At 36.5% G+C, this 27,703-nt stretch overlaps 1 protein-coding gene and 2 pseudogenes across 7 annotated transcripts in view, besides 1 other annotated feature; 1 reads left to right on the top strand and 2 right to left on the bottom strand.

Moving 5' to 3' along the window:
• STPG2 (sperm tail PG-rich repeat containing 2) overlaps positions 1-27,703 on the top strand; it is a 702,228-nt gene that overhangs the window by 92,556 nt on the left and 581,969 nt on the right. The window lies entirely within an intron of this gene.
• DUTP8 (deoxyuridine triphosphatase pseudogene 8) lies at positions 1,809-2,422 on the bottom strand (annotated as a pseudogene).
• RPL5P12 (ribosomal protein L5 pseudogene 12) lies at positions 24,597-25,578 on the bottom strand (annotated as a pseudogene).
• Positions 26,632-27,131: an enhancer, noted in NCBI's record as "H3K4me1 hESC enhancer chr4:98944941-98945440 (GRCh37/hg19 assembly coordinates)". NCBI's record gives its function as "activates a minimal SCP1, AML or CMV promoter by ChIP-STARR-seq in naive H9 embryonic stem cells {active_cell/tissue: H9 hESC(naive)}" and the evidence as "EXISTENCE:reporter gene assay evidence [ECO:0000049][PMID:30033119]".

The following is a 27,703-nucleotide window of genomic DNA, read 5'->3' as shown; positions in this document are numbered from 1 at the left end:
CCATTCTCCTGCCTCAGCCTCCCGAGTAGCTGGGACTACAGGCGTCCGACACCACGCCCGGCTAATTTTTTGTATTTTTAGTAGGGACGGGGTTTCACCATGTTAGCCAGGATGGTCTTGATCTCCTGACCTCATGATCCACCCGCCTCAACCTCCCAAAGTGCTGGGATTACAGGCGTGAGCCACCGCGCCCGGCTTCCTTTTCGTTAAAAACATTGGTATGATTTTTCTCTTTTATTAGCCTCACTTTTTTGATGATTGTCTTTTAGCAGATCTAGTTCAAGGTGGAAACCTTAGAGATGAGCTTTTGTAGGAATTCAGGCTCTCCCTCAGATTCAATGTTCCTCAACTCCTGTGAGTATGGTCAGAGGCTGTAATGAGCTCTCTGTCAGATGCCTTCTCACTGAAAAGCAGCCTGGCCAGTATAAGCAAGGATTCAGGAAGAGAGAGGGGCAGAACCCCCTTTTTTTTAAAAAATAAAAAACTTAATGTGAATAATGCAAAACAAACACAAAAGTGGAGAGACTATTATCATGAATCCTCATGTGCCCATCACTCAGCTTTAATAATTTTCAATTCATGGTCAACCATGTTTTATTTCTACTTTCCTTCTTCAATTATTTTGATGTAAATACCAGATATATATTTTAATCTGTAAACATTTTAATATGTATACCTCAAACATAATCACAATGCTAATATCATACTTATAAAATGAAAATAGTTTAATATCCTCAGCTAGCTTCTTTGTGTTCAAATTTTCCCAATTGCCTCATATTTTTAATAAATTTTGTTTTAATCAGAATCCAAATAAGATCCATACATTGTAATTGGTTGATATAGTTCTTAATTTGTAAAAATACATATGCTTCCTCTCTATCTCTTCATTATATTATATTTATCAAAATAAGTTTATTATTCTCTTGAATTTCCTAGTCTGGCTTTTCTGAGTATTTCCCAATGGTGTCTTTTAGTATGTTTCTTTGTCTTTTGTATTTTCTATAAATTTGTAGACTAGAGGCATAATCAGATTAATGCACAATCCTTTCAGCAAGACTGCTTTGTAGATGGTATTGTGTACTAAAAAAATCAGGAGGGACATAAATGTTTGTTTTCTCTCTCTTTGTAATATTGGTGGCCATTGATGATCAAAATCTAGACCTATTATTTATTAGGAGTTGAAGAATGGCCATAGCCTATAAATTTTAGTCTTATTAGTTGAAATAAAACTGTTTACTGTTGGAACTGTGGTATAGTACATATAGAAAAGGCAAGATACATGCTTGATTTTTAAAATTTATTGCTTTTCAAAAGATAAATTGTTGCTTAGCATCCTCCAATGGTGATCATTTATTTTTTAAAAACTATCATTATGGATTCATAGAGTTAAATATATGTGTTTCAATAAGTATTCTTACTGCTGCTCAATATGTTCTGTTTTTGATAGTTGGGAGCCTTTGGATTTAGCTCCTGGGTTCTTTTTACATAAACCAAGCAATCTTTGATTCCTTCCTTGCTTTCTGGTATAATAAAATGTTTAGTGTTATCCTTAGTGTTTATTTTTATTCTGAAGCTGAGGAAGCTCAAGCTCATGCAGGTTAAGTAATTCAACCAAAGTTTTATAGGTAGTAAACAACGGGCTTGATATTCTGACCCAGCTACATTTTATTCTAAAACTTCAAGTCGAGTGTTCATTAGAGACCCTTCTACCCCACAAATTTAATTCTTATTTAGCATTATTTAACTAATTATAATTTTGACAAATTCTGCTTTAAAGGAAAAAGGAATTAAGTTTTTTTGTTTTTCTTTTTAAGCAAAAACTCTTTACTTTTAAGAAAAAGGTATAATTTTTTCATTTACTATTCTTGGCATAAATTTTGATTTTTTCCAGTGAAACCAAAATCTCCTGAACCCCCTTCAGTATCATCCAAGTCTTGAATATCTCTTTATGTATAAAAAATTCATTCATAAATGAGCTGTGCAATCCAATCATTTTTTTGACTTCAAACTTTTCTTTGCCAAAATTAAACATTATATCACCAAAATTTCCTCTGTAGTCTTTATATGACACCAGCTCCTACATCTATAAAGTGTTTTGCAGCCAAGCCAGACCATAGAGCAACTATTCCATAACATCCACATGCAAGACATATCTGGATGTCTGTTTTCACAAGAACTTTGTCCATAGGTAGTATTGTATAATAATAGGCACTGTATAGGTCATAGTCTGTGGTCCCTGTGGATCCCTGAGTTGAGTCTGCGGTGTGCTCAGGGAGCCAGGCAAAGTGGGGCTGCATGCCACTCTCCTCCGCAGGGCTGGCCTGCTTCTTGAGGGAAATGGCAGGTGTCTCTTCAGAGCAGGGCATGGTAGAGCCAGAAAGCAAGCGGAGGAGACAGCCCAGGGAACAAGAGAGCACAGGATGAGCACTGCAGCAGGGAACCCACCAAGATCTCTCAAAATTTTTTATGTGTACTTTCTTTTGTTTTCTGCATCAAAAAGCCTACATATAACATTAACTGCTCTTTCTAATTTAAGATAAACTTTGTTCTTCAGATAGGATTAGTTGCTTTGCTACTTTCTCTAATTATATGAACTCTAATCCAGGATAGTGTCTTATTATTCTTGAAAACCTGGAGTTCCTCTGTAAATTCTTTTTCCTATTTTATCTTATTTTATCTTGTAGATTAAAAGAGAAAGCCAAGAGAATCTGGGGAAGATTATAATACATTGCTTCATCCTTTCCAAGCTGGAGAGTTATGCCTTCTGCCCCCTTGGTCTGTACATTCCCCAGGATATTTATGTGCACTAGAATTACACTTAAAAAAACCATACTTTTGTCCCTAGCATCTGAGTCAGTAGGGTTGGTAGTCACTTGTATAGTTTTAGAGTTCTTCTGGTGACCTTAATACTACGTTTAGTTGAGAAATACTGTCTCCGGTCTCTATAATCTCTGTGAGAGTTTTCTTTTTATCAGGAAAAATGTTGTCATCTACATTTATGTATCACGTATCCACTTATTTTTTTAGCTCGTGTTTAATCCATACTTTATTAACATTTTAAAATCTCAGAATAAATTCTTGAAAAGTTTGCAATGCAGAAAAATATGAAGAATATTATAAAAATTGTTGTATTTAAATACAGAAGTTTCCTTTGGTTATTTCTAAAAATACAAGACCTACCTTTTCCTTGTGGCTGGCTCTAGCAATAAAACCAGGTCTTCAGCTTGTCTTTCAAAGGAGTTTGTTCACGTATTGAGTGCTCCAACTTTTATAGCTCCTACATGAGGGATTGGCTTCTAAATCATCTAGCTGTGGGAACTGATAGGCCTCTACACTTGTGAGTCTTCTAGGACCACAGAGAATAAAGATGTGGATTTAAACAGGCGCATGAGCACTTCCAGCAGCTATCCCATGAATTTAATGCAGAGTGAATAGGCAGAAACTCCTAGATCCCCGTTTCTCCCTGGAAGGGATTTGCCTGCACAATTTCCAAGCTGCTGCCTGTGGGTCAGGTTTCTAACTTGCCTGCATCTGGGAGCTGATGAAACAGGTAGACCTCTAGGGAAGTTTAAATAAGTGTATGGGCGCTCCTCATGCTTTTTATCCCTGTCCTGCTTCAGTGATAAAATCAGGTCTCCAGCTTCTCCTTGTCAGTTTATCCACACATAAGCATGCAGCTTTTAAAGCTCCTACTTGAGGGGCTGGCTACTTGAATCACCTAGCTCTGGGGCTGAATGGTTCTTGGCATTTGGGAGTTCCCTGAGACCACATAGAACGAAGAGGTGGGTTTAAATGGATGTGTGAACATTTCTAGTGGCTACTCCTTCTGGCTAGTGCAGAGCAAGAAGGCTACAACAGCTAGCTCCCAATTTCTCCCTGGAAGGGGTTTGACTACACACCTAATGTCCTAACATTACCAGCTGCTGCCTGTGGGTCGGGCCTTTAATTAGCTCACATCTGGCAGCTGATGAAACAGGCTATTTGTATTTCTCTGGGAGACTAAATGAGTGTGTGGGAAATTTCTGTAGCTCCTCCTTGTGGTTCACTCAAGAGATAGAACCAAGACTCCAGCTATTCCACCTGTTTCTGAGAGCAGATGGAAGCCAGGGGTGACAAAAAGCAAAGCAGTGGGTTTAAAGAGTGTGTGGTCTGAATGAGAGTGGAGATGTTTGCCACTGATCCTCTCTCCATCTTAGAGCAGAGTGAGTGAGATAAAATTAGCTACCAGTTTCTCCCTGAGGAGAAAAGGAACTGGAACACATGTCTAACTCCTCAACTTTTTTGGCCGCATCTTGAAGGACTTAATTCCATACTGACTTTCTAGGGGCACTGAATGGGCTTGGCACACCCTAATCTCCTGGGGGACGGTAAGAGCAAAGATGAGATTTTGGACAAGCTCACTGGTTTCAGAGGCACCCAGAATCTCTGGCCAGGCTGATTGGTTAGGTTCATCTCCTACACATGGCCAGTCTGACGAGACTGGGAGAGTTATAGTCTAATATGCCAAAAGCAATAAAGAGAGTCAAGGAAGATGAAGAAATAGGGAAATATGTTCCAAATGAAATAACAAAGCTCCAGAAACTGGCCCTCATGAAATTTAGATAAGTAATTTATCTAACAAAGAATCCAAAATAATGGCCATAAGGATCCTTACTGAGATCAGGAGAGCATTGTATGAACAATGTGAGAATTTCAACAGAGATAGAAAAAAGTCAGACAGAAGTGATAGAGCTGAAGAATCCAGCAACTGATCTGAAAAATTCAGTGGAGATGTTCAATAGCAGACTAGAGAGAACAGAAGAAATGATCAGTGAATTTGAAGACAGGTCATTGGAAATTTTCTAATCAAAGGAGCCAAAAAAAAAAAAAAGAATGAAAAAACTATGAAGATCACTTAAGGGACTTATGGATACCACTCAGCAGAACAATGTATACATTATTTGAATTAAAGAAGGAGAGAAGAGAAAGAGGAAGGGATAGAAAGCTTATTCAAAGAAATAATGGCTGAAAAATTTCCAAACCTAGGGAAGAAAATAGTAATCCAGCTCCAGGAAGCCCAAAGGACACCAAATAAAATGAATGCAAAGAGGCACAACATATACAAGTGGTCAAATGCTAGAGAATTTTGAAAGCAGCTAGAGAAAAGCAACTTGTGTACATGGGAGCGCCATAAGACAATCAGCAGATTTATTAAAATAGATAAATAAATAAATAAATATTTTTTAGCAAAAATCTTGCAGGTCAGAAGGGAGTAGGGTAATATAATCAAAGTGCTAAAAGAAAAAAATGGTCACCCCCAAATACTATATGAGCAAACCTATCCTACTAAAATGAAGGGGAGATAAGGACTTTTTCAGGCAAATAAAAGCCAAGGGAGTTTATCACCACTAGACTTGTTTTACAAGAAATGCCAAAGGGAATTGTTTTTTCAAGTTTGGTGTTAAGTTTATTCTATTTTCTGTATAACTTTAAGTACATGAAGTTTATTTCCACAGGCCTCAGGAAATGGATAGAAATCACAGGACAATCTCTCTTCCCACCAAAAAAAGTTGGATATTTTGGTGTTTGTCTTAGAGGGAAAAAACTGAAATTTACATTAGCAGTGCTATGCAAGATTCTGACATAAATCAAGACCTAAAACCAGCGTGCAGTGGAGGTTCTAGTCCTCTGTTCAGGTGCTTGGACAGAAGCCATAAGCTGATGAGCATGACAGGGAAAAGGAGGCAGTGAAGACAGGTGACAGGCACCTAGCAGGGAAGGAGGATTCAGGAATGCCAGACTCCTTGGAATGGGGTGTTGTTTTTCCTTTTTTTTTTTTCCTTTTAAAGTCATCTCTGTAGGAAGGTGCTGGGCAGGGATCCCAGAGAAAGCAAGGGTCCAAGACTCCTTTAGCTGCCCTGGATGAAGGGCACTGCTACAACAGCTAGTACTGGAGGCTTTCCTGTCTCATGGTGAGGCAGACCTAGGATAGAATAGAGAATAAAAGGAATGCTTATGGGAAACAATTTTGTGTGGAATGCTAGATGGCCAAGCCTCAGCCTTCGGTCCAGTGCAACCCTTGCCTCACTTGTCAACAGTGAAAAATTAGTTTGATTAGAAGAACCATCTGGAAACATACCAGCTTCTGCTACCTTTCATGCTCATTGTTAGAAAAAGATTAACCAGTGTGAACATTCTGATCTGTTAATTCCTGGGACTGTTTTCTTCCCAATAGACTGTTTATTGGTAGAATAACCCCCAAAAACTCAAAGCTAAAATGCATCATCATCAGTCCTGGTCAGCAGTTCCTTAAGAATGGACTGGCGGCATGGTTGAGCTGATATGGAAAAGCTGCACCTTCCTGCAGAAGATGAACTGACCTGCTCTCCCACCCCAAATCTCTCAGCCTGAGGTATATTTCAGTGAAGGCAGGTAGCTGTGCTTCTCAGAGCAGAAAGGTAAGTGCAGAAAGGTAGAGAAAATCTAGAAAAGAACCATCTTGATACAGATTTATCCCAAGGTGTGAAGGGAGGGCAAAGAACCCAGTGGCACTTCGCTTATCCAGCAATTTCTGTCACTGTTGTGACCAAATTGCTAAAGAGAATTTTTAAAGTTGAGATGAAAGGATGCTAAACAGAAACACAAGAGTGTAGGAAAGTATGAAACTTGTTGGTAAAGGTAAATACATAGATCAAAAGAAAGTAGTATATTACTATAATAGTGATGAGTAAATCACTTTTAATTCTACTATAAAAGTTAAAAAGTATTAAAGACAATGGTAACTAAATTATGCTAATATATACATAACAAATATATGTAAAATTTGACAGCAATAGCATATATTGTGAGGGGAGGAGAGGTAAATTGTAGCTGGAGGTCATTATCCTTAGCAAACTAATGCAGGAACAGAAAACCAAATTCTGTTTGTCCTCACATATAAGTGGGAGCTAAGTGATGAGAACTCATGAACACAAAGAAGGGAACAACAGACACTGGGGCCTACTTGAGGGTGGAGGTGGGGAGGAGGGAGAGGAGCAGAAAAAATAATCACTGGGTACTAGACTTAGTGCCTGGGTGACAAAAAATAATCTGTACAACATACTCCCATGACATGAGTTTACCTATATCACACACCTGCACATGTACTCCCAAACCTAAAAGTAAAAAATAAAAATAAAATAAATTCATAAAAGAATTTAGACAAATAATCCTAATTGTTTTAAGTAATTTTTATTAAAGAAAAAAGATGAAAGTATTAAAGACAATGATAACTAAAGTATGTTAATGCATATGTAATATAAATACATGTAAATTTTACATCAATAGCATATAATATGCGGGAGGAGAGGTAAATTGAAGAGTACTTGGATGCAAGGGAAGTTACATTGTTATCAGCCTAAAATAGACTATTATAAAATATTTTATGTAAGCCCCTTGGTAACCACAAGGAAAATACTTATAAAAGTTACACAACAGATAAAGTAATCCAAACTGTCAATACAAAAAAACACAAAAGACAGCAAGAGAAAAAGAGGGACAAAAGAACTACAAGACAAATAGTTAATAAATAGCTAAGAAAATAGCAATAGTAAATCTTTATTAATAATTATTAAAGATGTATATGAAATAAGCTCTACAATTAAAAAGATAATGGAGTGATGACTAGATTAAAAACAACATCCAACTGCGTGCTGTTATAAGAAACTCACTTTAGATTCAAGGATACACATATGCTAAAAGTGAAAAGATGGAAAAGGATATTCCATGCAAATTGTAAATGAAATAAAAGAGGAATGGCTGTAGTTATGTTAGAAAAGTACGCTTTAGTAAAAAAACTATCTTTAGAGACTAAAAGGTTACTTCACAATGATGAAAGGGTCAATTCAGTAGGAAGATATAACCATTGTAATATATGCACCCAACATTTGAGTCCTTAAATATATATAGCAAATATTGACAGATCTGAAATGATAAATTGATAGCAATATAATAATAGTAGGACACTTCAATACCCTTCTTACAATTTGATAATAGTGGGGGACTTCAACACCCCACTGACAACACTAGACAGATCATTGACACAGAAAATCAACAAAGAAACACTGGACTTAAATTGGACTTTAGACCAAATGGACCTAATAGAATATTCTACTCAATAACTGCAGAATATATACATTTTTTCTCATCAGCACATGGAACACTTCCAAGATAGATTTTTTCAGGTCAGAGAAGAAGTTTCAATAAATTTTTGAAAATCAAAATTATAATACATATTTTCTTAACCCATATTGAATTAAAAGAGAAGTCAATAACAATAGGTGCTCTTGAAACTTTACAAATACATGGAGATTAAACAACAGGCTCCTGAAGAATGCAAAATTAAGATAAAAATTGATTTTTTTTGAAATGAATAAAAATGGGGACACAACATACCAGAACATCTGGGACACAGCAAAAACAGTGTTAAGAGGGAAGTTTATAGTGTTAAATGCAAACATAAAAAGAAACACCACAAATTAGTAACCTACTGTTACACCTTATGAGTCTAGAGAAACCAAAGCAAACCAAACCCAAAGCTAGCAAAAGGAAAGAAAGAACAAAGATCAGAGTAGAACTATATAAAATTGAAGTAAAAAAAGTACAAAAAAATCAATGAAATGAAAAGTTGTGTTTTTGAAAAGACAAAATTGATAAACCACTCACTAGACTTACCAAAAAAAACAGAGAAAATCCAAATAAAGAATCAGAAATGAAAAAAGACACACTTATGAATGATCTCATAAAAATACAAAAGATTATCAGAGACTGCTATGAATGACGATATGCCCACACACTTAGAAAACCTAGAGGAAATGGATAAATTCCTGGAAACATATTATTTCCAGATTGAACCACGAAGAAACAGAAATTCTAAACAGAGCAATAACAAGTAGTGAGATTGAATCAGTAATAAAAAATCTCCTAAGAAAAGAAAGCCTAGGACCAGATGGATTCATAGCCAAATTCTACCAAACATACAAAGAAGAACTTGTACCAATTCTGCGGAAATTATTCCCATGTGTTGAAGAGGAGGAAATCCTCCCTAACTCATTTTACAAAGTCAATGTCACCCTGATAGCAAAGCCAGACAAGGATATAACACAAAAAGAAAACTACAGAACAATATCTCTGATGAACACAGATGCAAAAATCTCCCACAAAATACTAGCAAACTGAATCCATGAGCACCTCAAAAATGTAATACACCACGATCAAGTGGGTTTTATTCCAGAAATGCAAGGAGGGTTCAACATATACATATCAATAAATGTGATTCATTGCATAAACAAAATTAAAAACAAAAAACTATATGATCATCTCAATAGATGCAGAAGCAGCATTTGATAAAATTTAGCATCACTTCATGATAAGAACCCTCAAAAACTAGGCATAGAAGGAACACATACCTCAAAATGATAAAAGCCATAGGCAACAAACCCACAGCCAACATCATACAGAATGGAGAAAGGTTAAAATATCCTCTTCTCCCACAAGAAGTGGAACAAGACAGGATGTTCAATTTTACCACTCCTATTCAACATAGTATGGAAAGTTCTAGCCAGAGCAATCAGGCAAGAGACAGAAAGAATACATCTGAATTGGAAAAGAGGATTTCAAATTATCTCTGGTTGCTGATATGAAATTGTGTGTAGAAAACCCTAGAGCCTTCTCCAAAAGACTCTTAACATTTGATAAATGAATTCAGTAAAGTTTCGAGATATGAAATCAGTGTACAAAAATCAGTAGCATTTCTATATACCAAAAATAAGCTGAGAACCAAATCAAGAAATCAATCCCATTTACAATAGCTACAAAAATAATAAAATACCTAGGAATATATTTAACCAAGGAAGTGAAAAGAAAGGAAAATGGTGAAACACTGATGAAAGAAATCGTAGATGACACAGACAAATGAGTAAGTATCCCATGCTCGTGAAATGGGAAGAATCAATATTGTTGAAATACTGATTCTTTTGATTCAATGTTGATTCTTAAAGCAGTCTACAGATTTAATGCAATTCCTGTCAAAATACCAATGTCGTTTTTCACAGAAGTAGAAAAAATAATTCTAAAAACTCATATGGAAACAAAAAAGAGCTCGACTATCCAAGGCAATCCTAAGCAAAAGGAACAAAGCAGGAGACATCACATTGTCTGACTTCGAATTATAGTCTTAATACAAGGCTAAGTAACCAAAATAGCATGGTACTGGTATAAAAATAGACACATAGATCAATGGAACAGAATAGAGAACCCAGAAATAAACCCACATACCTACAGCCAACTTATCTTTAATAAAGTCAACAAAAACATATATAGGGAAAAGGTCCTTAGTCAATAAATGGTGCCGGGAAAATTGGCTAGCCATACTAAAAGAGTGAAATTGGACCCATATCTCTCACCATATAAAAAAATCAACCCAAGATGAATTCAAGACTTAAATGTAAGACCTGAAGCTCTAAAAATCCTAGAAGAAAACCTAGGAAAAATTTTTCCGGACATTGGCCCAGGCAAAGAATTTATGACTAAGACCTTAAAAACACAAGCAACCAAAACAAATAGGCAAATGGGACTTAATTAAACTAAAAAGCTTCTGCATAGCAAAATAAATAATCAACAGAGTGAACAGACAACTTGCAGAATGAGGGAAGATATTTTCGGACTATGCATCTGACAAGGGACTAATATCCATAATCTACAAGTAACTCAAACAAGAACGACAAACCCTAAAAGCCCCAATAAAGAGTGGGCAAAGGGCATAAAGAGACATTTTTCAAAAGAAGATATACAAGTGGCCAACAAAGATATGAAAAAATGTTCAATATCACTAATCATCAGAGAAATGCAAATCAAAACTACAATGAGATATTTTCTTACACCAGTCAGAATGGCTATTATTAAAAAGTCAAAGAATAACAGATGTTGGCAAGGATGCAGAAACAAGGGAACAGTTATACACTATTGGTAGAAATGTAAATTAGTACAGCCTTTATGGAAAATAATATGGAATCTTCTTAAAGAAATAAAATTAGAATTACCATTTCATCCAGCAATCCCACTACTAGATATCTACCCAAAGGAAAATACATCATATATAAAAAAGATTCCTGACATATATTTATCACAGCACTCTTCACAATAGTGAAGTCATGGAATCAACCTAAGTGTCCATCAGTGGATGACTGGATAAAGAAAATGTGAGATATATATATATATATGTATCACATATGTAATTTTAAGGGGTGCAAAGGCAGTTTTGTTACATGAATATACTGCACAATGGTAAATATTGGGCTTTTAGTGTAACTGTCACCCAAATAATGTGCATTGCACCCATCCCTCATCCCTCTTCCACCCTCCACTTTTGTGTATACATATTTACACAAAAGAAATATGGTATATATATATGTATTTCTTGTATATATATATATACACAAAAGAAATATGTATATGTACACAGACATTGGACACTCCCAAAAGTGGGAGGGTGGGATAGATATTTATTCACAAATGATCTATTTAGAAAGTTAAATAAATGGTCATATTTTAAATATTTTTAAAACTTTTTTTCTCCCACGGGGGATTTATTCACATTCATACAAGTAGGATTGTTTTAATTAGTTTTCCTCCAGTGTAGAATTCTATTGTATGACTAGTACAGTTCATTTATATATATACATACTAATATACATTTAGTTTGATTCTAATTTTTTGCTATTACAAATAATGTTGCACTAACCGTCTTTGCCTGTGTCTTTGATACACAAGGGTATATAACCAGTCAGCAATTGCTGGTTTGTAAGGTATGTGCATTTTCAACTTTATTAGCTATTACCAATTTCTTTCCTAATGTGGTTATACTTACTTATTATTTTAACGTTGGGCAGAGTTCTTGTCTCAGCAATCCTCATCAACACTTAGTATTTTCTGACTTCAGAGTGATGGGTATGTGTATCTCTTAGGTTCTATTTCTCTTTTTACTATGTAAGTTGACATTGTTTCCTATGTTTATTTGCTGTTTCTATTTCCTCTTCTATGAATTCCTGTTCATATTCTCTGCCTGTTGATTTTTAGGCAGTTGTTATGTATTCTGGATACCAGTCCTAATGTCTTTTAGATGTGTTTAATATTTTCTAATCCTTGGCTATTCGTTTTACTTTGTTCATGGACTTTCTCTACAGATTTTTTTCAGTATGATCAAATTTATTAATTTTTTTATTCACAGGTTTTATTTTTTGGTATCTTTTTTGAGAAATATTTTTCCTACCTTGTTGAAATAAGGCTATTTTATATTTTCTTTTGAATTCTTGCTGAGATTTGACATTTATGTGGAACACTTTTTTTTGTGTGCATGGGATGTGAGATTCTCTTATTTGTGTTTAAAAGCAGTTACCAAAATATGCCTACGTTACATACTCTTTTCTCCACTGATTTGTAATGGTGCTTCTGTAATATACATTGTACTAGTAAATGAAATAAAATAAAAAAAAATTGTTTCCACTTCTGAGATTTCTATTTGGTTCTACTGATCTGTTTCTAATCTCAAACCAATACCACACTATTTTTAACTTTACAGTTTAACAAATCTTGTATCAAATGGACTAAGATCCCCTATACTGCCCTCACCTTTAATTCTTCCATATGATATATTTCTTGGCTTTTCATAGACATATGATCTTCCGTTATTAATTTTAGAATCTGTTTGTCTCAGTCAAAAAACCAAAACAAGCCAGGTGCAGTAACATGTGCCTGTAGTCCTAGGTACTTGGGAGGCTGAGGTGGGAAGATAGCTTTAGCCCAGGAGTTCAAGGCTAGCCTGGGCACCATAGCAAGACCCTGTCTTAAAAGAAAAATTAAAAAAATAAAAAGCAAAAGCAAAAAACAAAAGCTTCATTTGGATCACATTTATTATACAATCGTCACATCTAAACCATGCTATATCTCTCTGTTTAGATCTATATTTATCTTCTTTCATGATATTTACAAATTTTTCCTCAAAGGTCTTGTACATATTTGTTAAATTTATTTCTAGACACCATGTAGGCTTTTATTTGCTGTTGCAAATTACATCTTTTTAAATCTGTATTTTCTTATGAATTATTGTTGGTATGTAGGAACAATGTTGATTTATGTATTTTGTTCTTTGATCCAGCAACTCTTTAACTTGCTTATGGTTTTTCTATAGGAAGAGTTCCTTAAAATAATAACTTTGAATATTCTTTTTTAATTCTTTTGTGTTTTCCTTGAATTGTCTTCCTCTTTGCTTTCTCACTCCCTTACTCCTTTCCTCTTTCCCTTTCTTTTTTTCCTTTCATTACATCCACTAAGACATACTATGTTGCGTATCAGTGATAGACATCTTTGTCTTCCTGATAAATAGAAATGCTTATTAAATTTTACTTATAGGTATGATGCTGTGGGTTTTTGGGACATATCTTTTATTATCTTCTAGCCTTAATTTTGCTGGCTTAAAAAATACTCATTAGTGTGTGTTGAAATTTATTAATTTTGTATATACATTAAGATGTTTATAAGACTTGTCTCCCTTAATTTGTTTGGGTCATAAAGTATGTGAATACATTTTTCTTGATATTAAAGCATCTTGCATTTGTTATATATTAGTAGTTTTTAAATTTACTGGTACGTTTGCATATGTGTTCATAAGTGGGATTGCTACATGCTTTTCTTGTGTTCTCCATTTTTGGTTTTGGTATGAAGATTTTATAAGTGTTCCCTCTTTTTTTCACTCATTGGAAAAGTTAGCACAAATAGGGAAATTTTCTTCCTTGAAGAATTATTAGAAATTGTTTATAAAACTACCTGGGCCTGGGTGTTTCTTCTTGGGAGAGATATTTGTCTATTACTTCAGATTATTTAATCGACATTGATTTATTCAGGTTTACTATTTTTTAAAGTTAATTTTGCTAATTCTAGTTTGCATAAAGTGGTCAATTTTCGCTAACTTGAAAAATTTTGTGGCTTAAAGCATACAATTTTTATGACTAAGAAAACTATATTTTTAGTTGTGTTGATTTTTTATTCTTAAAATAATTTTTTATACCTTTAATCTTTGTGTCTTCTTTTTTAACTTTTATTTTAAGTTCAGTGATACAAGTGCAGGTTTGTTACATAGGTAAACTTGTGTCAAGGGGGTTTGTTGTACAAACTATTTTATCACCTAGGTATTAAGCCTGGTACCCGTTAGTTATTTTTTTCTCATCCTCTCCCTCTTCCCACCCTCCACCCTCTGAAAGACCTCAGTATGTGTTGTTCCTCTCGGTGTCCATGTGTTCTCATCATTTAGCTCCCACTTATAAGACAGAATACGTGGTATTTGGTTTTCTGTTCTTGTGTTAGTTTGCTGAGAATAATGACCTCCTGCTCCATCCATGTCCCTGCAAAGGACATGATCTTGTTCTTTTTTATTGCTGCATAGTATTTCATGGTATACATGTACCACATTTTCTTTATCTAGTCTATCTTTGATGGTCATTTAGGTTGATTCCACGTCCTTGCTATTGTGAATGGTGTTACAGTGAACATATGCATGCATGTATCTTTATAATAGAATAATTTATATTCCTTTGTGTATATACCCAGTAATGGGATTGCTGGGTTGAATGGTATTCTGTCTTGAAGTCTTTGAGGAATCACCATACTTTCTTCCACAATGGCTGAACTAATTTACAGTCGCACCAACAGTGTATAAGTGTTCCTTTATCTCGAAAACTTCACCAGCATCTGTTATTTTTTTGACTTTTTTTCTCTTTTTTTGAGTATTGTGTTTTTAAAAATTTATTTATTTTTATTATACTTTAAGTTCTGGGGTATATGTGCAGAACATGTAGGTTTGTTACAGAGGTATACATGTGCCATGGTGGTTTGCTGCACCCATAAACCCATCATCTACATTAGGTATTTCTCCTAATGCTATCCCTCCCCTAGCCCCCACCCCTCGACAGGCCCTGGTGTGTGATGTTCCCCTCCCTGTGTCCATGTGTTCTCATTGTTCATCTCCCACTTCTGAGTGAGAACATGCAGTGTTTGATTTTCTGTTCTTGTGTTAGTTTGCTGAGAATGATGGTTTCCAGCTTCATCCATGTCCCTGCAAAGGACATGAACTCATCCTTTTTTATGGCTGCATAGTATTCCATGGTGTATATGTGCCACATTTTCTTTATCCAGTTTGTCATTGATGGGCATTTGGGTTGGTTCCAAGTCTTTGCTATTGTGAACAATGCCGCAATAAACATATGTGTGCATGTGTCTTTATAGTAGAATGATTTATAATCCTTTGGGTATATACCCAGTAACTGGATTGCTGGGTCAAATGGTATTTCTAGTTCTAGATCCTTGAGGAATCACCATACTGTCTTCCACAATGGTTGAACTCATTTACATTCCCACCAACAGTGGAAGAGCGTTCCTATTTCTCCACATCCTCTCCAGCATCTGTTTCCTGACTTTTAATGATCGCCTTTCTAACTGGCATGAGATGGTATCTCATTGTGGTTTTGATTTGCATTTCTGTAATGACCAGTGATAATGAGCTTTTTTTCCCTATGTTTGTTGGCCGCATAAATGTCTTCTTTTGAGAAGTGTCTGTTCATATCCTTTGCCCACTTTTTGATGGGGTTGTTTGTTTTTTTCTTGTAAATTTGTTTAAGTTCTTTGTAGATTCTGGATCTTAGCCCTTTTTCAGATGGAGAGATTGCAGAATTTTTCTCCCATTCTGTAGGTTGCCTGTTCACTCTGATGATCGTTTCTTTTTCTGTGCAGAAGCTCTTTAGTTTAATTAGATCCCATTTGTCTATTTTGGATTTTGTTGCCATTGCTTTTGGTGTTTTAATCAAGAAGTCTTTGCCCATGCCTATGTCCTGAATGGTATTGCCTAGGTTTTCTTCTAGAGTTTTTATGGTTTTAGATCTTACATTTAAGACTTTAATCCATCTTGAGTTAATTTTTGTATAAGGTGTAAGGAAGGGATCCAGTTTCAGCTTTCTGCACATGGCTAGCCAGTTTTCTCAACATTATTTATTAAATAGGGAATCCTTTCCCCATTTCTTGTTTTTGTCAGGTTTGTCAAAGATCAGATGGTTGTAGATGTGTGGTGTTATTTCTGAGGCATCTGTTCTGTTCCATTGGTCTATATATCTGTTTTGGTACGGTAATATGCTGTTTTGGTTACTGTAGGCTTGTAGTATAGTTTAAAGTCAGGTAGCGTGATGCCTCCAGCTTTGTTCTTTTTGCTTAGGATTGTCTTGTCTATGAGGGCTCTTTTTTGGTTTCATATGAAATTTAAAGTAGTTTTTTCCAGTTCTGTGAAGAATGTCAATGGTAGCTTGATGCGGATAGCATTGAATCTATGAATTACTTTGGGCAGGATGGCTGTTTTCACAATATTGATTCTTCCTATCCATGAGCATGGAATGTTCTTCCATTTGTTTGTGTCCTCTCTTATTTCCTTGAGTGATGGTTTGTAGTTCTCCTTGAAGAGGTACTTCACATGTCTTGTAAGTTGTATTCCTAGGTATTTTATTCTCTTAGTAGCAGTTGTGAATGGGAGTTCACTCCTGATTTGGCTCTCTGTCTGTTATTGATGTATAGGAATGCTTGTGATTTTTGCACCTTGATTTTGTATCCTGAGACTTTGCTGAAGTTGCTTATCAGCTTGAGGAGATTTTGGGCTGAGACGATGGGGTTGTCTAAATATACAATCATGTCATCTGCAAACAGAGACAATTTGAGTTCCTCTTTTCCTAATTGAATACCGTTTATTTTTTTCTCTTGCCAAATTGCCCTGGCCAGAACTTTCAATACTATGTTGAATAGGAGTGGTGTGAGAGGGCATTTTTATCTTATGCCGGTTTTCAAAGGGAATGCTTCCAGCTTTTGCCCATTCAGTTTGATATTGGCTGTGGGTTTGTCATAAATAGCTCTTATTATTTTGAGATGCGTTCCATCGATACCTAGTTTACTGAGAGTTTTTAGCATTAAGGGGTGTTGAATTTTGTCAAAGGCCTTTTCTGCATCTATTGAGATAATCATGTGGTTTTTGTTGTTGGTTCTGTTTATGTGATGGATTACATTTATTGATTTGCCTATGTTGAATCAGCTTTGCATCCCAGGGATGAAGCTGACTTGATCGTGGTGGATAAGCTTTTTGATGTGCTACTGGATTCGGTTTGCCAGTATTTTATTGAGGATTTTCGCATCGATGTTCATCAGGGATATTGGCCTAAAATTTTCTTTTTTTGTTGTCTCTGCCAGGTTTTGGTATGAGGATTATGCTGGCCTCATAAAATGAGTTAGGAAGGATTCCCTCTTTTTCTATCATTCGGAGTAGTTTTAGAAGGAATGGTACCAGCTCTACTTTGTACCTTTGGTAGAATTTGGCTGTGAATCCATCTGGTCCTGGACATTTTTTGGTTGGTAGGCTATTAATTACTGCCTCAATTTCAGAACTTGTTATTGGTCTACTTAGGGATTCAACTTCTTCCTGGTTTGGTCTTGGGGGTTGTATGTGTCCGGAAATTTATCCATTTCTTCTAGATTTTCTAGTTTATTTGCGTAGAGTTGTTTATAGTATTATCTGATGTTAGTTTGTATTTCTGTGGGATTGGTGGTGATATCCCCTTTATTATTTTTTATTGCATCTATTTGATTCTTCTCTCTTTTCTTTTTTATTAATCTGGCTAGCAGTCTATCTATTTTGTTGATCTTTTCAAAAAACTAGCTCCTGGATTCATTGATTTTTTTGAAGGGTTTTTTTTGTGTGTGTGTGTGTTTCTATCTTCTTCAGTTCTGCTCTAATCTTAATTATTTCTTGTCTTCTGCTAGCTTTTGAATTTGTTTGCTCTTGTTTCTCTAGTTCTTTTAATTGTGATGTTAGGGTGTTGATTTTAGTTCGTTCCTGCTTTCTCTTGTGAGCATTTAGTGCTATAAATTTCCCTCTACACACTGCTTTAAATGTGTCCCAGAGATCTGGGACATGCGTCTTTGTTCTCATTGGTTTCAAATAACATCTTTATTCTGCCTTCATTTTGTTATTTACCCAGTAGTCATTCAGGAGCAGGTTGTTCAGTTTCCATGTAGTTGTGTGGGTTTGAGTGAGTTTCTTAATCCTAGGTTCTAATTTGATTGCACCGTGGTCTGAGAGACAGTTTGTTATGATTTCCGTTCTTTTGCATTTGCTGAGGAGTGTTTTACTTCCAATTATGTGGTCAATTTTAGAATAAGCACGATGTGGTGCTGAGAAAAATGTATATTCTGTTGATTTGGGGTGGAGAGTTCTGTAGATGTCCATTAGGTCTGCTTGGTCCGGAAGTGAGTTTAAGTCCTGGATATTGTTGTTAATTTTCTGTCTCATTGATCTGTCTAATGTTGACAGTCGGGTGTTAAAGTTTCCCACTATTATTGTGTGGGAGTCTCTGTGTCTTCCATTATGACTTGTGTTAGATGGTATCTCGTGATTTTTAAAATTTTTTATTTTTTCATAAGTTATTGGGTTACAGGTGGTGTTTGGTTACATGAGTAAGTTTATATATACCAGAGTTTCTTTTTCCACTCGTTGATTCATAGGCATTTGGGTTGGTTCCATGGTTTTGCAGTTGTGAATTGTACTGCTATAAACATGCATGTGCAAGTATCTTTTTTGTATAGTGACTTCTTTTCCTCTGGGTAGATACCAATAATGGGATTGCTGGATCAAATGGTGGAACTACTTTTAGTTCTTTAAGGAATCTCCACACTGTGTTTCATAGTAGTTGTACCAGTTTACATTCCCACCAGCAGTGTAGAAGTATTCCCTGTTCACCACATCCATGCTAACATCTATTATTTTTTGATTTTTTGATTATGGCCATTATTGCAGGAGTAAAGTGGTACCACATTGTGGTTTTGATTTGCATTTCTCTGATCATTAGTGATGTTGAGCATTTTTTCATGTTTGTTGGCCATTTGTATATCTTCTTTTGATAATTTTCTATTCATGTCCTTAGCCCACTTTTTGATGGGATTGTTTGTTTTTTGCTTACTGACTTGTTTGTTTTCTTTGTAGATTCTGCATATTAGTCCTCTGTCAATTGTATAGAGTATGAAGATTTTCTCCCACTCTCTGGGTTGTCTGTTTACTCTGCTTACTGTTCCTTTTGCCACACAAAAGCTCTTTAGTTCAAGTCCCAGTTATTTACTTTTTTTTATTTTTTATTTTTTTTGAGACAGAGTTTTGTTCTTTTTGCCCAGGCTGGAGTGCGGTGGCATGATCTCGGCTCACTGCAACCTCCGCCTTCCGGTTTCAAGCGATTCTGCTGCCTCAGCCTCCTGAGTAGCTGGGACTATAGGCTGGGACTACAGGCCACCACGCCCAGCTAATTTTTTGTATTTTTAGTAGAGATGGGGTTTCACCATGTTGGCCAGGATAGTCTCCATCTCTTGACCTTGTGATCCGCCCATCTCAGCCTCCCAAAGTGCTGGGATTACAGGTGTGAGCCACCATGCCTGGCCCATTTACTTTTTTTAAAATTGCATTTGCTTTTGGGTTCTTGGTTATAAAATCCTTGCCTAAGCCAATATCTAGAAGGGTTCCTCCAATGTTATCTTCTAGAATTTTTAGTTTCAGGTCTTAAATTTAAGTCCTTAATCAATCTTGAGTTGATTTTTATATAAAGTTAGAGATTGGATCCAATTTCATTCTCTACATATGGCTAGGCAATTATCCTAGCATCATTTGTTGAAAAGGGTGTCCTTTCACCACTTTATGTTTTTGTTTGTTGAATATCAGTTGGCTTTAAGTATTTGGGTTTATTTCTGGGTTCTCTATTCTGTTCCATTGGTCTATGTGCCTGTTTTTATACCAGTACCATGCTGTTTTGGTGACTCTGGCCTTAAAGTATAGTTTGAAATCAGGTAGTGTGATGCCTCCACGTTTGTTCTTTTTGCTTAGTCTTGCTTTGGCTATGCAGGCTCTTTTTTGGTTCCATATGAATTTTAAAATTTAAGTCTTTAATCTATCTTGAGTTAATTTTTGTACATTGTGTAAAGAAGGGGCCCAGTTTCAGTCTTCTGCATATGACTAGCCAGTTATCTCAGCACCGTTTAATGAATAGAAAATCCTTTCCCCATTGCTTGTTTTTGTCAAGATTGTTGAAGATCAGATAGTTGTAGGTGTGTGGTCTTATTTCTGGGTATTCTTTTCTGATCTGTTGGTCTATGTGACTATTTTTTTGTACCAGTATCATGCTGTTTTGGTTACTGTAGGCCTGGACTCTAATTTGAAGTTGGGTAGCATACTGCCTCTAGCTTTTTTCTTTTTGCTTAAGATTGCCTTGGCTTTTCAGGCTCTTTTCTGGTTCCATCTGAATTTTAGTTTTCCCTAGTTCTCTGAAGAATGTCAATGGTACTTTAATAGAAATAGCATTGAGTCTATAAATTTATTTGGGCAGTATGGCCATTTTAACAACATTGTGGAAATTTCTCCCTTGATAATGTATAAAGCCAGATACAATACTGAATTTCTGGGGAATTGCATAGATTATTGCCACCATCAGAGACTTGGAAGACTCAGGAGTAGAGATAGTTATCACATCTCTATGTAATTTGCCTATGTGAGCTGTGCAGAAGCCAGATTAATTTTGGGAGGTGACTGTGGGTCATTATAGACTTAATCAGATGGTGGTGATAGAGACTGCAGCTGCTTTCTCAGATACAGCATTTTTACTGGTGCAAAACAACATAGTCTGGTATATTGATGGCATTATGCTGATTAGATTTGAATAGCTGTAAGTAGGAAGAATCTTGCAAACCGGATAATGGAAGATTAACCCCATGAAATTTCAGGGGCCTCTTACTGCAGTGAAGTTTCTGGGGTCCAGTGGCCTGGATAATGTCAAAATATCCCCTCCAAGGTGAAAGACAAGTTGCCATTCCTTCCACCATCTACCATGAAAAAGAGTTACAACTCTTGGTAGGTCTTTCTGGGTTTTAGAGATAATATATATTGCATTTGGGTGTGTTACTTTGGCCTTTCTACTGAGATACTGATAAGTGTGCAGTTTTGAGTGGGAACCAGAAGAAGACAAAGCTCTATAGTACGTTCAGGCTGCATTGCAAGCTACTTTTTCATTCAGGCCTTATGATTCAGCAGATCAAATAATACTTGAAGTGTTCGTTGCAAACTGGGGTGCTTTAGAAAGCCTCTGGAAAGTACCAATATGAGAATAAGAGCACGCAACCCTAGGATTTTGTAATACTTCTATGTCCTCTTCTGCAGATAACTAATATAAAATATAAAAGCATGATACAACTGTGCTATTTCTAATTAATATACTTTGAATGTGTAGATACCCATGGGCTAAAAGTAAAAGCATGAAAAGTGATATATTGTGCAAGCATCAATAAAAATGCTGTAGTGGCTATATTAGTATCAGATAAAATACATATAAGAATAAAGAGTATTACTAGAGATAAAGAGGGATATTTCATAATGAAAAAGAAAGAGATCATCGAGAAGACACGGTAATCCTAAAGGTATATGCATGTATAGAGATTCAGAATGCTTGAGGGAACAACTGACAGAATAGAATGGAGAAATAAAGAATTAACAATTATGGGTAGCTATTTCACTACTCTGGTCTCAATAATTGATAGAGTGAGACCTCAGTGAGGTTATAGAAGATTGAACAGGACTATTAGCCAAGTGTGACCTAATAAGCACTTATAGAACATGCCACCCAATATGTTTAAATATGCATAATACGCATATTTCTACATGCACATAGAACATTTACCAAGATAGAACATTTTTATTAATAAAACAAGTTTTAATATATTTAAAGTATTGAAATAATAGAAAATATGCTCTCTGATCACAAAAATGTTTACAAAAAATAAATCACAGAAAAATGTCTGGAAAATTATTATAATTTGGAAATTGAGCAACATACTTCCAAATAAACCATAGGTGAAAGAGGAAATTATGAGGAAAATCAGAAAATATTTCAAGCTATGTGAAAATGAAAACATAGCATATTGACATTTGTAGGATAAAATCTTGTATTTAGTGGGTAATATATAGAATTAATGCTTATATTAGAAAAGAAGAAAGATGTAAAATCAATGTACTCAGCTTTCACACTTAGGAAATAGAAAATAAAAAAGAGAAACTAAACTCCAAAGAGGAAGAGAGATAACTGAGTGGAAGTAGGTGAAATAAAATTCTGTAGCTCTGTTCTCCACAACGAAACAAGGAACTATTAAATGAGGTTCAAAACATCTACTATAAGAAAATAAAACTAATTTATTCATATCTCTAAAAAGAAAATTATCCTAAACAGACTGTTGGTAGAAATATGGACGTTAAAGATACTTACTGCTAGTGAAGGATCAGAAGAAAATGAGGAAGACATTATTTGAAACTATTGGAAAGGGGATTCTTGTTATAGAGTGGTAGAAAGTGTAGCTAAATTGTGTCCTACATAATTATGTGGAAACTAGACTTTGTAAGGAATGTCCTTGGATTTGGATAAGGAGACTGCCAAGTGTTGAAGGTGTGCTGAGGTTTCTTCTTTCTGCTTATAGTAAAATGTGACAGGAAAAGCACAAATTGAAGGAAGAACTGTTAAGCCAAAAGAAACCAGGACTTGATGATGCGGGAAATTTCCAACCTATCCAATTTGAAAAAGACACTCAAATTCGAAGATTCACTTTCAGGAAAGCGAGTTCTGGGGAGAAAACTGAGGTTGTGGTTGAATTATCTTTTGCTAGTGCCTTGGAAGGATCTAGAGCCAGAGTATTCAGTCACACAGAAGCTCTTTGAAGAAATCAGGTGTATGACTCATGGATCCCTTCAGCCATCTCTGAAGAGGCCAAAAATAGACCTGCATTATCTAGGAAAGACCTGTAGAGGAGCTGTTGTGTGGAGTGAATTCCCATGACAGATGTAGGAGACTCAAAATGTTCATGAGATTTTATATCAATAGCAGCACTGCCAGCTTGGACTGAAAGGGACAGAAAGAAGGATACATGAAGGAAGACTATTGAGACTCTGGAATTCTAAAGGCAGGAAGCAGGCTGATAAAACTACTTATGCTGAAAGCAATGCTATTCTTCATGAAAAAGGAAGATTGACTCCAAAGTCAGAGCCATCCTATTCTCTGAGGGTGAAGCTGTGAACCACACAGGTTATTCCTAGGCCTTGAAACTCAATGGAGTTTTCCTTACAGGGTTTTGAGATTGCTTGAGATGGCTGATTTCTTTTTTCTTCCCATTTTTCTTTTTTGAATGGAAATGTTTGTCTGGTGTTCTACACTTATTCCATCTTGTATTTTGACAGCTGTTAACTTGTTTTCTAGTTTTGCAAGTCTACAGATGGAGATGAATTTTGCCCTAGATGGATCATATCCAGAATTTCATCCATATCTGATTTTTATTTTTCAGATGATGTGAATTTGGGTTCTTTGAGCTGATGAGATTTAGATTAGATTTCAGACTTTGAGCTGCTGTTGTAATGAGTTAAGACTCTTGGGAATATTAGGATGGGATGAATGCATTGAATGTGAGATGAATGAATCTTTGTGGGCTAGACTGCTTACTGTGGTAGAATTATATCCCCCTAACGATGTTCATATCCTAATCCCTGGAACTTGTGCATATGTTATTTGACATGGTAAAAGAGACTTTCCAATGTGATTAAGTTAATAAATGTATGTTATTTTAAGCTACTAAATTTGTGGTATTTATTAGAAGAGTAATAGAAACAAATACCTCTTGTCTTTGGAATTGCCTTTCCCCTGGGAACATTGGCCATTTTCAAAGGAAGAGCCGTCTGCATCTTACCAGTCTGAGAATCTGCCTGATAAGTTTGACAGACTCATGTGGTCCAGAGGGCACAACCTGGTGAATGTTCCTTGTGTATCTGATAAGATTCAGGCAAGAGATAGAAAGCACACCAATAATGTGAATGTTGATAATTTAATATTTAAAAATTAGTTAAAAATGGTCAACTACTTATAATGGAAAACTAGACTCTATACTAAAACAGCTTATGTAGGAAGCCTCTACAAATGTACTGTCTTTAGTGGGATTGGGTAAAGAGAATGAGAAAGAGAGAGAGAGAAGGGCAAGAAATACACTAAGAACTTGGAAGAATCACCTCCCGCTCCTAAGATTGAGATCTCACTGGAGAGGGCATAGCTATGGTTCACTGGGTGGCAAAGAAGTTCACTGGAGTCAGTGGACCGGAGTTTATCTGTATGTAGTTATCAACTGAAGTAATGGCAGATTGGGGCTTGTCTACAGGAAGCTGTCCTTGAGGGTTCCTGAGAAACTCAATGGGCCTCCAGCATGTCACTAGCAGGCACACCACAGAAGGAAGAAAATACACTAGAATTAGGAAGTGAAACCCCTTCCTTTACCATGACATACAATGTCCATCTGGTGCCCTCTCTTGCCAACTAATATTAGACAAGCTGGCAAAAGAAATTTGTACAGGGTCCAGATCCAGTAAAACCTAGGCCAAAGAGGATAAATGTCGAGGCAGAGGAATAAATCGGTAACTAACACGGTACACTCCATTTTTTTTTCTGTCCATACTTTTATTGTCTTTATCTGAAAATCTTCATAGAAAATTGTTTGGTTTAGCTCTCAGCAGCCCACTCCTGAGCTCTTGAGGGGGCTTGCTTTCTTTTGAGCTACCCGATCTTTCTTCTGAGCAAGGGACATTTTGGGACGATTCCACCTCTTTTTAACTTCTTTCTTGGGCTTCTTTTCATAGACTGGATTCTCTCGTATAGCAGCATGAGCTTTCCTATACATCTCCATCATGTCTGGAGTTACTCTGTTCTTTATGTATTGAGAGAACTGTTTCTTGTAATTATCTTCATCTTACATGTAATCTGCAACATTCTGCAACATTCTGGCCCACAATGTGCTTCCTGTGTAGTTCTACATAAATTCCTTGCTTTCAGAATCATAACCAGGGAATCATTTGGTACTGTGAGGGATAGACAAGCCTCCATCCACAGCTCCCTTCAGGGTGCCAAAAACTTTATTGCCAGTGGTAGTTCTGGCAAGGCCTGCATCCAAATAGCAGGTAAAGGCACCCGGCGGACCATCAATGCTTTCCACATTGTATTCATCGCCAGTCACCTCCACTTGGCCTTCATAGATCTTGTCCATGCCAAACCTATTGAGTAGCCTGCAGGCCAGCAGGAGGCCAGTACAATACGCTGCAACATAATTTGTTAGGCCATCCTTCATACCATATTTTGGCAGTTCGTGTGCATATGCTGCACAGACTATTATATCCCTGTCTATATGGGCATAAGCAATCTGACAAATGATATCTCTGTTTGTTACACGAACTATCATCCTGTATTTGGGTGTTTTATATTTATTTTTATCCTGTATCACTAAGTGTTTCCAAGCATGGTATTCAGTTTTACCCTTTCCTCGTCTTCTAAATTTCACTTGGTATCTCTTAAAGCAGGCCTTATTCTTAACAACTTTAACAAACTGTGGAACAAAGGCCTGCAGGCCCAGCAGCACTAGGGGGTGGAAAGGGCCACAGCCAATACACTCCTTTTATTAGTCAGCTTCTGTTTCCTTTTACACAACAACGAAACAACTCTGTTTCCACCTAACAAAGCAAAGCTATTCTTTATACAAGTAAAAAAGGTTTGATACTTTCCTTACGAGGAGATATACATTTCCAGTAGTTGTTGTATAAATTACTTGCCAGCTGTATTAATTAATCCTTAAATTCACTTGAACTGCAAGTGAATACTCTTAAAGAGTAAACTAAAGTAATCCTTGATAATAAAGGAGAGCCTTTTTGCTATCCTCCCCATTTTTATTCTTATACCTTTTGGAATACAGATGGGGGTAATTACATTTGCAGTAGTCATTTTATGACCATGATATAGCAAAAAGAAAAGATGTTCAAGAGAATCCTAAAGACCTGAGTTTTGACATTGTTGAGTCTTGAATTAATATTTACATAGCCTATTTCTGGACTTCTTGCTTTATAATACAAATAAAACTTTATTTTTAAAAACAGTATTGGGTTTGTTGATATTTGTGGCCAAATGCATTTCTTCTGGATATTCTTGTAAAACAAACTGAAAAGCCAGTGAAAGTAATTATATTGAGAGAAAGCACAGTGAAAGTAAAATTCTGTCATGAAATGATGCTATCAAATGTTATATAATATCAGTGGCATATGTTTACAATAGCATTTACAAATATGTCAAATATCTGTACAAAAATGTGTAGATACTTTGGTTTATTCTTGTATTAAAATACTAATTCAGAGTATAAATTAACCCTTGCTTATGTGTGCTACATATATATGTGGAGATGACTTTGGCAACATTTGGTTATATTTATCATTGAAAACACAAGCAATGGGAGAAATGGTGTTTCGTTGATTTAATTTTATAGGACATATGGATTTGAAAACTTTCATTGAGATCAGCAGTGACCTATTAATGTTATGGAAGGGTGTTATGTAAATAATAGGTGTTCCAGTTGGGTAGCTATCCACACTCTGATTTGTTCATGGAAAACATTTGATAATCAGCAGTGAAACTACTAGACAAGAGGAATGATGATAGCATGATGGGAGAATAGGAGTTTCCAATGCACACTCCTCTGTATTAGTCTGTTTTCACAGTGCTATAAAGATACTACATGAAACTAGGTAATTTATAAAGGAAAGAAGTTGGTAAGGAGCCAAGATGGCTGAATAGGAACAGCTCCGGTCTACAGCTCCCAGCGTGAGTGACACAGAAGACAGGTGATTTCTGCATTTCCATCTGAGGTACCAGGTTCATCTCACTAGGGAGTGCCAGACAGTGGGTGCAGGACAGTGGGTGCAGCGAACTGTGCGCAGGCCGAAGCAGGGTGAGGCATTGCCTCACTCGGGAAGCACAAGGGGTCAGGGAGTTCCCTTTGCTAGTCAAAGAAAGGGGTGACAGACGGCACCTGGAAAATCTGGTCACTCCCACCCTAATACTGCGCTTTTCCAACGGGCTTAAAAAACGGCACACCAGGAGATTATATCCTGCACATGGCTCGGAGGGTCCTACAACCATGGAGTCTCACTGATTGCTAGCACAGCAGTCTGAGATCAAACTGCAAGGTGGCAGCAAGGCTGGGGGAGGGGTGCCCGCCATTGCCCAGGCTTGCTTAGGTAAACAAAGCAGCCAGAAAGCTCGAACTGGGTGGAGCCCACCACAGCTCAAGGAGGCCTGCCTGCCTCTGTAGGCTCCACCTCTGGGGGCAGGGCACAGACAAACAAAAAGACAGCAGTAACCTCTGCAGACTTAAATGTCCCCGTCTGACAGCTTTAAAGAGAATAGTGGTTCCCCCAGCACGCAGCTGGAGATCTGAGAACGGGCAGACTGTCTCCTCAAGTGGTTCCCTGACCCCTGAGCAGCCTAACTGGGAGGCACCCCCAGTAGGGGCAGATTGACACCTCACACGGCCAAGTACTCCTCTGAGACAAAACTTCCAGAGGACTGATCAGGCAGCAACATTTGCGGTTCACGAAAATCCGCTGTTCTACAGTCATCGCTGTTCTGCAGCCACCGCTGCTGATACCCAGGCAAACAGGGTCTGGAGTGGACCTCCAGCAAACTCCAACAGACCTGCAGCTGAGGGTCCTGTCTGTTAGAAGGAAAACTAA

This window comes from Homo sapiens, chromosome 4 (assembly GCF_000001405.40).
Source record: "Homo sapiens chromosome 4, GRCh38.p14 Primary Assembly".
NCBI lineage: Eukaryota > Metazoa > Chordata > Mammalia > Primates > Hominidae > Homo > Homo sapiens.
This window is presented reverse-complemented; position numbering and strand designations above follow the sequence as displayed.